Consider the following 16,820-nt stretch of genomic DNA (forward strand, 5'->3'; position numbering starts at 1 on the left):
GTGCTGGCTCCATGCTGGGGCGTGGGGCTGCCCCCTCTACGCTTTCCCTCGGACGCGGGATCCCATGGGGGATTATTGGTCTTTTGAGGCATTCTTGGCCCTGCAGATGGAAAAATGTGGAACTGTTCACTGCCTAACATCAGCAGTTCCTCAGGATCACTCCGGGAAGCTGGCCCTAGGCTGGTCGTATTTTCTTCCAACTTTAGTTTGCAGAGGCAGCTCCAGGGCCAGGAGTCAAGAGACCTGGGTTTGGATTCTGACTTACTCACTGCCTTTCCTTTTTGAGCCTTAGTTTCCCCATCTGTAAAATGAAAGGGTTGGATTCGATCATCACAAAGTCTCTTCCAATTCTTAGAAAAAAAAAAAAGTCAAAAACCAAAATCTGTATCCACCACGCTCTCATTGTAACATCACTTGCTAGAACACAGATTAAGTCACAGCCTGCAGGGCGCGTGATATTCCCTGCTGGGAGGAAGGGCCACCCACTTCCTGGGCCCGAGGATGGAGGGCAGGCTCCAGAGCCTTGCGTCCATTCCTGATCTTCATCCGTGTCATTGGGAAGTCCCCATTTCCTAAATGTGGTCTCTGCATTGTTCTTATAAGGTAATTTCAGGTCCCCACTTTCCTGAGCGTGTGTTTGGGAGTGGATGGAGGGATGGAGAGGAGGTGTGGAGAGGTGGACATGAAGAAAGATACATAATGTCTGCTGGCTTGGTGCTCTAGAAGACGAATGATCCAAGGTGACATCAGGCAGGCTTTTAGAGAAGGTCTGGACTCCGTTGCCCGCGCCCCCTGCCACCCGATGCCGTGGAAGCCTTTCGAACTTAGGTCTGGTGTCACACCCTTGGGCTCACATCCGCTATTGCCTCTGGCTGTGTGTCTTCTGGCAGGTCACTTTGGTCCCTGGGCCTCAGTGTTCTCGTCTACATAGACGATAGCTGGGCACAGTGGCTCATGCCTGTAATCCCAGTGCTTTGGGAGGCCAAGGTGGGTGGATCACTTGAGGTCAGGAGTTTGAGACCAGCCTGGGCAACATGGTGAAACCCCATCTGTACCAAAAATACAAAAAGTAGCCGGGTGTGGTTGTGGGTGCCTGTAATCCCAGCTACTAGGGAGGCTGAGGCAGAAGAATCGCTTGAACCCGGGAGGCAGAGGTTGTAGTAAGCCAAGATCGCACCACTGCACTCCAGCCTGGGCCACGGGAGTGAAACCCTGTCTCAAAAAAAGAAAAAAAAAAAAAAAAAGAAAAGAAAATATACCTGTAAGTTAAAACCTTTTTCCTTGGGCAGCTATCAGTGGGGGCTGGGGGAGGCGGGAGATGTTTCTGAGCTTCCCAAGTAGCCCTTAGAGAGGGCTTCCCCCACTTCAGGGTTGGCCTGAGGGAAACTGGTGCTGGCCTCAGCTCCCCATACCTCTCTGTTGTCTTTTAACCCCCATCTGGGAAGAAGCAGCCTCTTTCTTGAGCTGTGTGGGGGGCCAGGCCTGCGTGCTTCTTCCTCCTGTCGGCTCTGACTTGCTCCACAGTTGTGGAGGTGGGAACTGACAGCCCTGTTACGGCTGAAGCAGCAAAGCTCAGAGAGGCTGAGTGACTTCCCTAAAGTCACACAGTAGGGTGGCTGCTCTGTGGATGATGCCTAGGTCCCGGAATAGAGACTCCGCCCAGTCCTGCCCCCGTGGAAAAAAACATGGGCCCAGAAGTCAGACATCCCAAGTTTTTGTCTGGGCTCCGGCCCCTTCTAACTAGTTTTGGGCATTAAGGTGGCAGTCATGGTGCTTGTCCTGCCTACCATGCACGGTCATTCTGAGAGCAAGGGAATCAGGTGTCCCAGGGGCACGCCGTCCATCAGGGGGCTGATGTGTACAGGGGCTGCTGGCTTCCCTCCATCCCAAGGTTCTCTATCCCCGTTCCTCTGATTCCCGGATTAGCTTGTTTGGACTAACTGGCTCATGTCTTCATCCTCCAGATAAAATCTTATGTTGAACCGTAGCCTTCTGGGGACCTGATTTCTTTTTCTTCTTTTCTGCATTTTACTAGAAAAAATCTCAAACATACAGAAAATTTGAAAGAATTGTAGAGTGAACACCCACATCATAAACTGGACAAAAAACATTGTGCTGTATTTGGGTGGCTGCATAGACATAATTTCTTCATGCCAAGGAATAACTGTGATGAGGGGAGATCGAGGGCTCCTAGCAGCCGAGAGAGGGAGGCATTTGAGGATAAGAAGTTAAGGCAGCAATCCCTGGAGTGCCACCAGTGAGCGGCCATATGTCTGCTACTCCTGATCCTACAGTCCTTGTATTTGGGGGGTGGGGCAGGGGGTAGGGCAGTTATCAAACAAGTCAACAATAAATAAATAACATGAAAATAAAAAGGGCTAACTGGAACACATGGACTTCCTACTAATGATGCCTCATTGAGGGTTAGAGCAAATGGCTGGCTCTCTTGCGAGGAAGCTGAGACCTGAGAAATGTGCCTTTCATAGACAAGGTAGGGCCAGACAGGTCTAGAACCTTTTTATATCCAGAGCCTGGAGCAGGACCCTCAGGACAGCTGTCAGAAATGATGGCAGAAGGGCCGGGTGCGGTGGCTCATGCCTGTTATCCCAGCACTTTGGGAGGCCGAGGCGGGTGGATCATGAGGTCAGGAGATTGAGACCATCCTGGATAACACGGTGAAACCCCACATCTACTAAAAATACAAAAAAATAGCCAGGCGTGGTGGCGGGCGCCTGTAGTCCCAGCTACTCGGGAGGCTGAGGCAGGAGAATGGTGTGAACCTGGGAGGTGGAGTTTGCAGTGAGCTGAGATCGCACCACTGCACTCCAGCCTGGGCGACAGAGTGAGACTCCGTCTCAAAAAATAAATAAATAAATAAATAAAAAAGAAACGTCATCTCTACTAAAAAAAAAAAAAAAAAAAAAAAGAGCTGTGCGTGGTGGCGCATGCCTGTAATACAAACTACTCAGGAGTCTGAGGCAGAAGAATTGCTTGAACCCGGTGGGGGCAGAGGCTGCAGTAAACCAAGATCGTGCCACTGCACTTCAGCCTGGGCAACAGAGTGAGACTGTGTCACAAAAAAAAAAAAAAAAAAAAAAAATGATAGCAGAAGGGAAGCAGAAGTGAGGTGGGGTGACCAACCCAGGTTTGGGGAACTGTTTTTTATCAAGAGGCTTTCCTGTCCCCTCGATGGAAAAAGAAAAGAAAAAAAAAATAAGAGCTTGTCCCAAAACAGTGTTTTTCTTAAATATCTGACTCATCTTCTTTTTAACTTAAGAAGAATGGATTCCATTTTATCTTGTTTAAGCAGAAAATGAAGGAAAAATAAAAAATAAAAATCAGTTTGGGGTAATGACAGATGGTGAGAAAGAAGAAGAAAAGGATGTGGGGTTGGGAGAAGGAGAAGAGGGAAGGAGAGAGGGCATGGAGCAGATGGTGGGAAGTCCAGCAGGGCGGGAAGTGCAGAGGCTGAGGCTGGGACCAGCAGGGAAAGGCTTGAGGGCGAGATGGCGGGAGCAGGGCAGCCGCGTCTGGGAAGATGGGCAGGTGCCCAGAGCAGCTTGGAGGCAGTCGTGGCGGGAGGTGGGTTGGGGCCTCTGAGGCTGTGGTCCCAACCATGGGCTCTGGAGTCAGACCTGGGTTCCAGGGTTACCTCTGTCACCTATTAGCTCTGAGACTTGGGTCAAGTCACTGAATTTCTGCATGCCTGAGTTTCCCCAATAGGAAATGGGGATAATAATATATGTAAAACTCTGTTTGACACATAGGAAGCATTAATAAATGCTAGTTCCATGACTGTCCACTTGGTCTGCAGACTTCAGAGGGTTACAGACACTCATGTGTTCAGCAATCATTGAGCGCTCTTTGAAACATTTGTTAGCCAGTTAATTGCCTTTTGCAGTTCAAGTCCTCTCATCTGTAAACCTTTCTAGGAGACTGCCGATCAGCTCACCGCAAGCAGAGTACTCTTAGGGCTGTGGCTGCAGCAGCCGAGTCACATGATCCCTGGGCCTGGTAACACCTTGCGGTCTTCATAAGTCTTTGCCTATACAGTAGACCATCCTGGACGAAGACCCATGACTGAATCTAATAGGTGCCTAGTCCATAGTAAATCAGGCTTTAATTTTAGGCCTGTCTGCTGGTTGGGTAACTCTGTTCTACAAGTGTGGGTCTGCAGAACCCAGGAACTAATTCCTCAAGACAATCACTGTCTGCAGATGCTCTTTCTTCTTTTCTTTTCTTCTTGTCTCCTTCATCCTTTAATAAAAAACAGGCCAGCGGCCGGGGCCGGGCACGGTGGCTCATGCCTATAATCCCAGCACTTTGGGAGGCCAAGGTGGGTGGATCACTTGAGGTCAGCAGTTCGAGACCAGCCTGGCCAACATGGCGAAACCCCATCTCTACTAAAAAAATAAAAATTAGCTGGGCATGGTGGCGGGTGCCTGTAGTCCCAGCCACTCGGGAGACTGAGGTGGAGGTTGTAGAGCTGGGATTGCACCACTGCACTCCAGCCTGGGCTACAGAGTGAGACTCTGTCTCAAACAAAACAAAACAAAATAGGAGAAGGAAAGGGTGAAAGTACTTTTTATTCACTTGTTAAAAAAACTACTCCTCATAGGAAAATGATGGAATGATGGAATTTCTTCCTGTTTCCATTCATTGCAAGTTTATAACGTGGCTATCCAGGGCTCTCATCCCCCCAAATTATTGGTGTCATCACCCTTGAGCACATTTTTGCTCGTTGTGGTATTTCACACCAACCCCTCAATGGGGCAGTGGCCTTTGGGCCATCCTGAGGACACCAAGCTGCCACTGCTCCCCACACCCCAGAGGCAGCCAGTGCTGATCTCCCCATGAGGGCATCCACTTCAGGTGGAATCGCTGACTGCTCACACCACATCATTTATGGTCCCTAAGTTTTTCTCCTTGGCTTGCCCGGTCCAAGGGACTTTATTTTAGCCAAAAATGTGGGAGAAAGAAAAGAAAGTGATCTGAAGTTTTTAAAGCCTAATATAAATATTGCAGAGCTTCCTTGGAATTCAATAGCCCGCCCCGTACCTCAAAGGCTTCTCCAACATGACCATGAAAGCAGCCAAAGGCATTCAATAGGGACATCCTCCCAGCCTTGTGTTAAAGTCATAGGTTATACCATTTTGTTCCATCTACCCATCCATCCACCCATGATCACTAACTAGGATAGCTGAACACACCCATGGCTTCATGTTGTGGTCCTGCCATGTAGTACCTTGCTGTCCTTACCGTGTATAAGCTCAGTGCCATGCCCTTCTTCCAGATGCTGGTGTTAAGGGTTCACATGTTGAAGTTGGGAGAGGGGAAGCACAGTCCTAGTTACCATAGCTCTGAGCACTCACACTGCAGGCAGACCCCAGAACACACACTTCCCAGTCCCATCAACACCTCTCCTGAATTCCAGGATATACATTTTTTGGGTTCATTGGCCCATTATCATAGTAATAGACCTCTTTTCCGAACTCCTCTTAATTTAGTTAACTCAGCTCTAGCAATGAAGCAGCGAATCACAGAGATACTTCAAACAGTCATTTATACCTGGCTTTTGCTGAATCTCATGGGATTATTTTGCCAAGGCATTTGTTTTGCCATCTTAATTATGTTCTTTTTAGCCAAAAATCATCCTTCCCCATCCTCTGGCAATAGCAACTTCCCTTGGGCAGAAGTGTCTCCTGGAAATAGGATCAGTGCTCAGGCCACATCAACCTGGGGCTTTCACCACCGATAATCTGTGTAGTGAGGCATCGACACAGGGGACCCATTTGAGTTGTTCAAGAAAAAAACTCCATATTTCTGCACAAGAAAAACAAATTGTAACAAACAGCCACTCTGCCAAAGAAAAATGCTCTGGTGCTACCTCTCTGTAGCCCTAGACTCATTTCTTTCTCCATTCCTTGTCTCCCAAATAGATCCTTTAGTGGCCCTTAAGGCTGTGCCCCTCACACACATTCTGTTTCTGTGCAACCTAAGTGTGCTGTGGTGCTGTCAGATAGCGTGAAAGCAGGGGGCTCACCTCCCGTGTTTCCGTGCAGAGCGCTGAGAGTCCGCAAGAAGATGTCCGGGGAGAAGATGCCTGTGAAGATGATTGGAGACATCCTGAGCGCACAGCTGCCGCACATGCAGCCCTACATCCGCTTCTGCAGCCGCCAGCTCAACGGGGCTGCCCTGATCCAGCAGAAGACGGATGAGGCCCCAGACTTCAAGGAGTTCGTCAAAGTAAGGAGCCAGGCTGTGCAGAGACTGGGCCCCAGAGTGGCGATCTTTGGGCAGCTGGATGTGTGAGGGGCTAATTCAAAAGTCTGCAAGAGTGTTCCCACTAGAGGCCAACAGGGCCTAGGGTCTTGGCTAAGCCTTAGGGGACTGGCACTCACTGGCAAGTGTGGCTGTCACCAAAGGGGTGGGCTTGGAGAGGAGGGGTGAACCCTGGGCTTGGAAGCTTTGAAAGTGTCTTTAGGGATCTGTTTTCCAGATGCTATTGGTGTTATTTGGATGCATGTTTAAATCTTTCATTTCATTTGCAAGGCCCAGGCAGGTCTTAGATTTCCTCTTGTGTTTAATCGCCACATCCTCAGTTCTTTGCTGGTCTCTGCCCTTCACTTGCAGAGGGAATGGCCAGGACTCCCAGTGGCCCCTTCATTCCTTTCGCAGTTGGTTCTGCTTGATGTGCTCCCGCCTTAGACAGCCTGTGGGAGTCAGTGTGGGATGCCAGGACCTCTTCCTTGGAGGTAGCAGGGATCTGGAGAGTTGGGAGTCCACCAGGGGATGTTTGGGGAGGTAATGCGGATACTGCTGGAAGACCTGCAGCTCTGGGACTTGGCCTTGGCCAGTGTGGGTCTCTGCTGGCCGTGCTGGGCCATTCAAACAGCCCCCACATCTCCTGGAGAAAAAAAGGAGGAAGAGAATAAAATAGCTTCTGTGAAACAGGTATCTTTTGATGAATAAACAACAAAATAATAATAACAGGCATATCTTTGGATCTCATGCATTTTGGAGACAGGCCATCCTCACCTGTCCTAGAGTGGTGCTTGTGGAATCACTGTGGTGAGGCACAAGCGCAGCCTCTTCTTGGTCAGAGCCTCATGTGAGCTTGTTGTTTCTGCCTCTCATGGTGTTTCTCAGCCTAGACTTGCCAGCCAAGGCATGGGGCACTCTGAGGTCATTCCAAGGGGAGAAAGATTGCTAAGAAGGAGGCCTTGGGTGGATGGAGACGAGAGAGCAGATGCTGAGCTGCTGGGCGCCATGGACCACCTAGGGTTTCAGCCAAGGGCTGGGCTCTTCCTAGGCCCGAGCAAGATGAGTTCATTGTTGGATGCACTTGAACTTCAGGAAAGTGCTGACACCAGCCCAGAGCAGGGGCCTCATTGTCCCTCCCCGCCCCTCTCCTCTTCACCTCTCCCCACCTCCTCTCAGTGGGAATGTGGCACGTCGTTGCCAGCTGCGAGGTGTTCCTGGAATGATGGTGTCCACAGCTGGAGCAGGTCCCGGTCCCTGGAGACAGTTATCAGGTCTCAGGGCTCCAGTCAATGCAGCTGCCCGTTTCTAAGGCATTAAACCAGACCACAGCCTTTGACAGCTAAGTGGCCAGACCCTGAAACTGGAGTCTTGACCCCCGTTGTCTGAGCTCCTCTTTCTCAGCCCTGCCTGGAGTTCCCAGAGGCACGTGCAGGCTCCACTCAAAACTAGACAATGAGATTTAGCCCTTCCAGCAGTTCTGGGGTGTAAGGGGAATTTTTCCTCTAACCGTATAGTCTTGTGACTCTTGTTCCTGGGAATGTTATAAAGTTTCTGCAGACATCCAGACGAAATATTCTGTGTAAAGCCAGAATCTCATCTCTGTGCATAAGGAACCATGCATGCCATGGAGGGTATGCTGAATCCAGAGTGCAGGGCTTAACCCTGCTGGCTGAGTCACATCTGTGGGTCTCCATTCTCCATCTGGAAAGTGTGTCATCCTGGACAGGGTAACTAGTCAGGCCCTTCCAACCCCAGGTCTCTCAGTTGTCATCCAGATAAATGAGATAATGGGTGGAGAGTCCTCACTGACATTAGTATTGATGTCACTAACTTTGGATTTTGCAAGTTTCTTAAGTACATTTAAAAACATCTCATTTCAGAGATTGGCAATGGATCCTCGGTGTAAAGGGATGCCACTCTCTAGTTTTATACTGAAGCCTATGCAACGGGTAACAAGATACCCACTGATCATTAAAAATGTAAGTACCTGTCTTGCCTTTTCAAGCAGGGGACGGCTTTCTCTGCATTGGAGAGGGCTGGGGTCATGGACAAGATTCCCAGTGAACATATCTGGTAACTGTTGTGTAGAAAGCACGAGACAACAAGGTGTCACAGAGGTCTGCTTGGTAACTCAGAAAGAAAAGCTGGTTTATCACGCAAAGAGCTGGCTGGGCACGGTGGCCCGCGCCTGTAATCCCAGCACTTTGGGAGGCCGAGGTGGGCAGATCGCTTGAGCCCAGAAGTTCAAGCCCAGCCTGGGCAGCATAATGAGACCCTATCTCTATTAAAAAAAAAAAAAAAAAAGAGAGCTAATACTGTGTCCGGAATTGGTGGGTTCTTGGTCTCACTGACTTCAAGAATGAAGCCGCAGACCCTCGCGGTGAGTGTTACAGCTCTTAAGGTGGCGCGTCTGGAGTTTGTTCCTTCTGATGTTCAGATGTGTTCGGAGTTTCTTCCTTCTGGTGGGTTCGTGGTCTCGCTGGCTCAAGAGTGAAGCTGCAGACCTTCGCGGTGAGTGTTACAGCTCTTAAGGCAGCGCGTCTGGAGTTGTTCGTTCCTCCCGGTGGGCTCGTGGTCTCGCTAGCTCAGGAGTGAAGCTGCAGACTTTCGCGGTGTTACAGCTCATAAAAGCAGTGTGGACCCAAAGAGTGAGCAGCAGCAAGATTTATTGCAAAGAGTGAAAGAACAAAGCTTCCACGGTGTGGAAAGGGACCGAGCCGGTTGCCACTGCTGGCTCGGGCAGCCTGCTTTTATTCTCTTATCTGGCCCCACCCACATCCTGCTGATTGGTAGAGCCCAGTGGCCTGTTTTGACAGGGGGCTGATTGGTGCCTTTACAATCCCTGAGCTAGACATAAAGATTCTCCACGTCCCCACCAGACTCAGGAGCCTAGCTGGCTTCACCCAGTGGATCCCACACCGGGGCTGCAGCTGGAGCTGCCTGCCAGTCTCGCGCCATGCACTCGCACTCCTCAGGCCTTGGGTGGTCGATGGGACTGGGCGCCGTGGAGCAGGGGGCGGCGCTCGTCGGGGAGGCTCGGGCTGCACAGGAACCCACGGAGGCAGGGGAAGGCTCAGGCATGGCGGGCTGCAGTCCCGAGCCCTGCCCCGCGGGAAGGCAGCTAAGGCCCGCTGAGAAATCGAGCGCAGCGCCGGTGGGCTGGCACTGCTGGGGGACCCAGTACACCCTCCGCAGCCGCTGGCCCGGGTGCTAAGTCCCTCATTGCCCGGAGCCAGCAGGGCCGGCCGGCTGCTCCGAGTGCGGGGCACGCCAAGCCCACGCCCACCCGGAACTCCAGCTGGCCCGCAAGCGCCGCACGCAGCCCCGGTTCCTGCTCGCGCCTCTCCCTCCACACCTCCCTGCAAGCTGAGGGAGGGGGCTTCGGCCTTGGCCAGCCCAGAAGGGGGCTCCCAGAGTGCAGTGGTGGGCTGAAGGGCTCCTCAAGTGCTGCCAAAGTGGGAGCCCAGGCAGAGGAGGCACCGAGAGCGAGCGAGGGCTGTGAGGACTGCCAGCACGCTGTCACCTCTCAATACTGCACAGCCTTCAGATGTGTGACCAAGTGGCTTCTACCTTGTAAGTCAGAAAATGAGAGCTTAGTCGTTGATTCTTTTTTTAATTTTTTTTTTTCTAGAAGAAAATAACATGGAATCACAGAAACAGTCTGTGGTCTGTGCCTTTCTCCCTTGACTCTTTCTTAAAGACAGGCCCAGTGCCTCTAGGCCTTGATTTTCTTAGCAGAAAAGAGAAAGAAACGTAATGCTACGACCTGTCTTCAGAAGGCCATTGTGAAACACTGTATTAGTCCATTCTCACACTGTTGTAAAGGACTGCCCAAGACTGGGTAATTAATAAGGAAAGAGGTTTAATTGACTCAGTTCCACATGGCTGGGGAGGACTCAGGAAACTTACAATCATGGTGGAAGGGGAAGCAAACACATCCTTCTTCACATAATGGCAAGAAGGAGAAGAATGGGAGCCCAGCGAAGGGGGAAACCCCTTACAAAACCATCAGATATTGTGAGAACTCACTCACTCTCACTAGAACAGGATGGGGGAAGCCACCCCAACGATTCAATTATCTCCACCTGGTCTCTCCCACAACATGTGGGAATTATGGGAACTACAATTCAAGATGAGATTTGGGTGGAGGCGCAGCCAAACCATGTCAGACACTGTGTGTTGATATTAGATGATTGTTCTTCTCCTGTCACTTTGAGAAAGCCGATACCAAAAGAAAAAAGAAAGAACAAAATTAGGGTTTCAGTGTCCCCACCTGTAAAATGAGTGAACAGATTTAGATGTCCTCTGAGCCTATGTTTGTAAAACCACAGGGAGTATAGCTCCTGGAAAGAGGTTTTAGATCTGGTTCCTTTTAATGGAAAATGGTGTTTAGAAACTCAGATGTGGGCACTGGCGTGCTCATTGCTACTGGGGTGATTTTGTTTTGTGTTCCTCTCGGTGGCAGAGCTGGGAAATATATGAATGTCTTTTCATGCACACATATTTACATATGCCAATGTATATACACATATATTTATATTTATTTCTAGATCCATCTATCCATGTATATTAGAACTCATGAATTCACACCAGTACCTCCTATTCTAATCCAATACTGCAGAATTTTTTCCAGCCTTTCCCCTTCTGCCTTTGTAACTCCCTACTCTGTGAAGAGCCTGGCTCTCATTATCCTCAATGTGTTTCCTTATTTGCTCAGTCTTCTTACATGTGACAAATCTCCCTCCCACATAAGCCATCTCCTCAGTCCAGCCCCAGCTCAACTCCACAAAATACACTGTGGATCTTTGGCTGAGTTAAATACTTAGTTTTGAAGTAAGTTTTCAACTTACTGTTTTCTCTCTTCCAACACCACAGTTACTATTTAATTAGCTCAGTACTTCTCTTTTTTCTCCCAATGTTTAATTGCAAATTGAAGTTGAAAACAAGCTTTTAAAATAGGTGTTCTATATCTAGCCAATGGGAGAAAAACTAAAACAAGAAAAGGACTGCATGGCCCAAATATTTAAAAGGGGGAAAAAAACTCATTATTTGCAGAAACACGATTGATTTCTTCCAGAGCACCCACAAAAATGAACTGAAAACCAGCTGAACTAAGAAGAGAATTGAAAACAGTGGTCAGCTATGAGATACATATGAAATCTGCTAAAGTACTAATACTAAATATTTTTATGATACTGATGTGGAGAAATTCTTAGCATGGTCTCAAAGACATGCTAATCCTAAACTTAAAGGATTTAGATCATAGCAACCTAAAAAATACCCAAACTTTCATCTGGGCATAGTGGCTCACACCCATAATACCAGCACTTTGGAAGACCAAGACGGGTAGATCACTTGAGGTCAGGAGTTCAAGACTAGCCTGGCCAACAGGGTGAGACCCTGTCTCTACTAAAAACACAGAAAAAATTAGCCGGGAGTGATGGTGTGTCAGGTTTGAGGCCCAGCTGAGGTCTGAGGGGAGTGGGTGAACGTGGGGCAGGGAGCTGGAAGAACACTTGAGAGACAGCAGGTAGATGGGACATGGCACAGAATTGTGCACCTGCACTCTAATCCCCCTGAGTCATGCAGGCTGTTTACATCTGCGTATGCCTGCCTGGTTGCAGCACAGCCATGTTCCCTACATGATGTGTATCTGTAATCCCAGCTGCTCGAGAGGCTGAGGCAGGAGAATATCTTGAACCTGGCAGGCAGAGGTTGCAGTGAGCCAAGATCACACCACAGCACTCCAGCCTGGGTGACAGAGTGGGACTCTGTCTCAAAAAAAAAACAAAAAACAAAAACCCAAATTTTATTCTGGGGAACAACGTATATGTTCATTAATGGGAATGGTTAAATAATTATGGTAGATCTGTACTATGAAAATATTTAAAAAGATACAGAGCAACTTCTACTCATGTATTAGTGTGGAAAGACACTGAGAAAATGCTGTTATGTGAAAAAGCAACACTAAACTCACTGAGCAATCCTATGGTATGATGCATTTTGCAAGAAGAGGGGAAAGAGCTATGATTGAGTCACTGCACTCCAGCCTGGGTGACAGAGTGAAACTCTGTCTCAAAAAAACAAAAAAAAAAACAAAAAACAAAAAGGCCGGATGTGGTGGCTCACACTTGTAATCCCAGCACTTTGGGAGGCCGAGGCAGGCAGATCCCGAGGTCAAGAGATCAAGATCATCCTGGCCAACATGGTGAAGCCCGTCTCTACTAAAAATACAAAAATTAGCTGGGCATGGTGGTGCATGCCTGTAGTCCCAGCTACTCAGGAGGCTGAGGCAGGAGAATTGCTTAAACCCACGAGGTGAAAGTTGCAGTGAGCCGAGATCGCGCCACTGCACTCCAGCCTGGCGACAGAGCGAGACTCAGTCTCAAAAAAAAAAAAAGAAAAGATAGAATATAGAACTTGAAGTTGCTGAGAGGCAGTAGGCAGTATGGAATAGCAGTGAAGAGCACATAGCCTGGAGCCAGGCTGGCTGGGGTTTGAATCTTGCTACTTAACCACTGTGTGCTCTTGGGCAAGTTGGGCCTCAGTTTCTTGTCTGTAAAATAGGGACACTGATAGTACCTACTGCATAGTGATGTGGGAATTAACTGAGTTAATGTATGCAAAGTGGCTCATACTAGGCAGTATATAAATGTTAGTTTTATCATTGAGAACACTTATGCGCTAAATGTACAAAAAGTTCACACTCACAGGTAATAAAAGAAAATACATAACAAAACAAGAAAATACTTTGATTTTGGCTTGCCAGATGAGCGTATATTGAAAAGATTATAGGTCCCAGTGTTGGCAAAGATCTGGGTGGAAGTTAAATTGATACAGCCTTTTTTGGAAGGCGATTATAGATCAAACTATAATTCCTCTTTGGCTCAGCAATTCCACCTCTAGGAATTTATTCTAAGGAAATAATTTAAGAAATATTGAAAAGTTGGAAGCAACATAAAGTTTTATGGGAAGGTAACTATTTAGACGCATTGTGCTCAATAACGTGCTCAATGAATATTGGGGTCTACCCCAATAATGATATATTATAAAACCCTCAAAATGATAATATGTATGAAATGGACATGGAACATTGTACTATAAAGCAATGTATGAAATAGTACAGTATAAAATGGTAGTTTTTGTAAAATGGTAGTATGATCCAATTTTTATTTTTATTTTTATTTACTTTTTTTTGAGACAGAGTCTCGCTCTGTCACCCAGTCTGGAGTGCAGTGGCACGATCTCAGCTCACTGCAATGTCCGCCTCCTGGGTTCAAGTGATTCTCCTGCCTCACCCTTCTGAGTAGCTGAAACCACAGGCAGGTACAATCACGCCCGGCTAATTTTTGTGTTTTTAGTGGAGACGGGGTTTGACCATGTTGGCCAGGCTTGTCTCAAACTCCTGACTTCAAGTGATCATCCTGCTTCGGCCTCCCAAAGCAATTTTTATTCTTGAAATAATGGGGAGATTATTAGTGATTTTTAGGTTCTTTATAACTTTTTGAATTTTCTAAATTTTGTACATTGTACAATATTACTTTTGTCATTAGAAAAATTGATAAACCTGTTTGAATTTTGAAACTAAACAAAACAAATGAATTTACTCAAGCCAGCTGGGTGGGTTCCTAGCCTGTAGTAGTGGTTCTCAGATTTGACTGCATGTTAGAACATCTGGAAACCTCTAGAAAACCCCTAAGCCTGAGTTTCACCCTCCAGGGATTTTGATTTAGTCATGGATGAGGCCTCAGATTTTCCAAAAGGATTCTAACGTACAGTCAGGATTGGCCCAGAGGTTGGGGTTGTTGCTTGGAATTGATTTGTGGACTCACAAGACATAGAAAACAGTGTGTGTTTTTCTCCATTTGAGCATCTACTTAGGACTTTAAACCACGGTATGCCTTTGGGATAAGATATTCAGAGTCAGGGCCATTTACATTGTTTGTATGTGGACAAGGCCTGGGCAAATATGCCCTCGGCATTCTCCTGGTACACTTCAAAGGTGGCTTAGGGTCTTTCTTCATTCTCCAGCACAGGGTGATAATTGTTTTTAGGGGCCTGGAAGTCCTTTGAGGATCTGATGGTAATCACTGTTGCTTATTGAGCACTTTCTAAGGGCCAGGTGCTTTGCCAAGAGGTCCACGTGTCTCATTTAGTTCTCCACACACCATATAAAGGAGGCTATTAACCTCTCCATTTCTCATGCGAGGAACCTGAGACTCAGAACATTTATGTGGGCCAGGCGTGGTGGCTCACGCCTGTAATCCCCGCACTTTGGGAGGCTGAGGCAGGCAGATCACTTGAGGCCAGGAGTTTGAGATCAGTCTGGCCAACATGGCGAGACCCCCGTCTCCACTAAAAATACAAAAATTAGCTGGGCATGGTGGCGCACACCTGTTGTCCCAGCTACTCAGGAAGCTGTGGCAGGAGGATTGCTTCAACCTGGGAGGCAGAGGTTGCAGTGAGATGAGATCGTGCCACTGTTCTCCAGCCTGGGTGACAGAACGAGACAAAAAGAACATTTATGGCTGGGTGCGGTGGCTCGCGCCTGTAATCCCAGCACTTTGGGAGGCCGAGGCAGGCAGAACATCTGAGGTCAGGAGTTCAAGACCAGCCTGGCCAGCATGGTGAAACCCCCATCTCTACTAAAAATACAAAAATTAGCCAGGCGTGGTGGCTGTAGTCCCAGCTACTCGGGAGGCTGAGGCAGAAGAATTGCTTGAAACCCGGGAGGCAGAGGTTGCAGTGAGCCGAGATAGCGCCACTGCATTCCAGCCTGGGCAACAAGAGCAAAACTCCGTCTCAAAAAAAAAAAAAAAAAAAAAAGAACATTTATATAACCAACCCAAATCATGGGTGGTCTGTGGTGGGGCAGGGATTTAAATTCAGGAGGTCCAGCTCCGGAGCTGGCATTCTTAGCCACCACCCCAAATGGTCTGCTTAGAAAAGCGCACACTTGCTCTGATGCACCCGTCTGCATGTGGTTCCAGAGGCGCGTGGACCCAGGAAGGAGCCACCCTTGCTGCAGCCACCGCTCCTCTTATGCCCCAGGCTGCATGCTAAGCATAGACTGCGCTGTCCCTGCCCTGCCCTCCAAGGGCACCTGTTGGCTCTTAGACCCTCATCAGTGGGTTGATGGAACACTGCACATCAAATGCCAGAATTGCATTGTATGTTCCCCAAGTGAGTGAACAGGTGGGAAAATAGCACGGAACTGGGCCTGGGATGCCTGGGCTCTGCTCCTGGTCTCAGGGACTAGTTTATTCCTCTGTGAAACAGGGTGAATATTTTCTTTTTCTTTCTTTTTTTTTTTTTGAGACGGAGCCTCTCTCCGTTGCTGGGCTGGAGTGCAGTGGCGCAATCTTGGCTCACTACAACCTCTGCCTCCTGGGTTCAAGCGATTCTTCTGCCTCAGCCCCCCGAGTAGCTGGGACGACAGGCATGCGCCACCACGCCCAGCTAATTTTTGTATTTTTAATAGAGATGGGGTTTCACCATGTTGGCCAGGATGGTCTCGATCTCTTGACCTTGTGATCTGCCCACCTTGGCCTCCCGAAGTGCTGGGATTACAGGCGTGAGCCACTGTGCCCGGCCAAGGGTAAATATTTTCAAAGAGAAACTCTAAGGGCCCCATGGTTATATGTACACACTGTGATCCTGTGAGTCTGCATGTGTGGCTTGGGGTCCACCCTGCGATGTTAACATTTTGCCGGACAGATCACATAGCTTGCCCTGGACATTCAGGGTGTGGGGCTGGACTGAGACCTCAAGGATGGGACCATTCACTGCTTCCCGCAATGCCACCCACTGGAGCCATCAAGGAGTGGCCGTCATCTGCTACGTGATTGCCATGTGGGTGCTCAGAGCTGCGATTGCTCAAGTGGGCGCCGTCCATGAAAGGATGGTGCCCTGCCCCGCTGGGCCTGGTCCTGCAGGACCCTGGATCACAGGCCCGCCCACATTGCCTAAAAGGAGGTGGTTGTTTTTATTCTCCTGTGTAGATCCTGGAAAACACCCCTGAAAACCACCCGGACCACAGCCACTTGAAGCACGCCCTGGAGAAGGCGGAAGAGCTCTGTTCCCAGGTGAACGAAGGGGTGCGGGAGAAGGAGAACTCTGACCGGCTGGAGTGGATCCAGGCCCACGTGCAGTGTGAAGGCCTGTCTGAGGTAGCCAACCTTGGGGCTGGGCCCTGGTCTCCCCCGGCAGAGCCTCGCCTGCCAGCCTGGAGGAGGACAAAGAAAAGCATGAACCATTCTCCTCCCCAGCCGATAGCATCCTCATTTCCATCCAGCTGCTTCTCATCTGCTGTTTCATCCACCCACTGAGTATTTATTTATTTATTTGAGATAGAGTCTCACTCTGTTGCCCAGGTTGGAGTGCAGTGGCACCATCTCAGCTCACTGCAACCTCCGCCTCCCCGGTTCCAGTGATTCTCCTGCCTCAGCCTCCTGAATAGCTGGGACTACAGGCACACGCCACTACACCCGGCTAATTTTTGTATTTTTAGTAGAGATGGGGTTTCCCGTGTTGGCCAGGCTGGTCTTGAACTCCTG

At 48.9% G+C, this 16,820-nt stretch overlaps 1 protein-coding gene across 12 annotated transcripts in view; it reads left to right on the forward strand.

Annotated features, from left to right (window-relative positions):
* The window catches only part of ITSN1 (intersectin 1), a 257,361-nt gene that overhangs the window by 216,588 nt on the left and 23,953 nt on the right, over positions 1–16,820 (forward strand). For 10 of the 12 annotated variants that reach the window (XM_017028428.2, NM_003024.3, XM_017028433.3 and 7 more), the window contains 3 exons: positions 6,063–6,246; positions 8,145–8,243; positions 16,266–16,433. In XM_017028428.2, coding sequence (XP_016883917.1) covers positions 6,063–6,246; positions 8,145–8,243; positions 16,266–16,433 — 451 coding nt within the window. The remainder of the gene's footprint in view (positions 1–6,062; positions 6,247–8,144; positions 8,244–16,265; positions 16,434–16,820) is intronic. The other 2 variants (XM_017028431.3, XM_017028432.3) reach the window with 1 other exon arrangement.

This window comes from Homo sapiens, chromosome 21 (assembly GCF_000001405.40).
Source record: "Homo sapiens chromosome 21, GRCh38.p14 Primary Assembly".
Classification (NCBI taxonomy): Eukaryota; Metazoa; Chordata; class Mammalia; order Primates; family Hominidae; genus Homo; species Homo sapiens.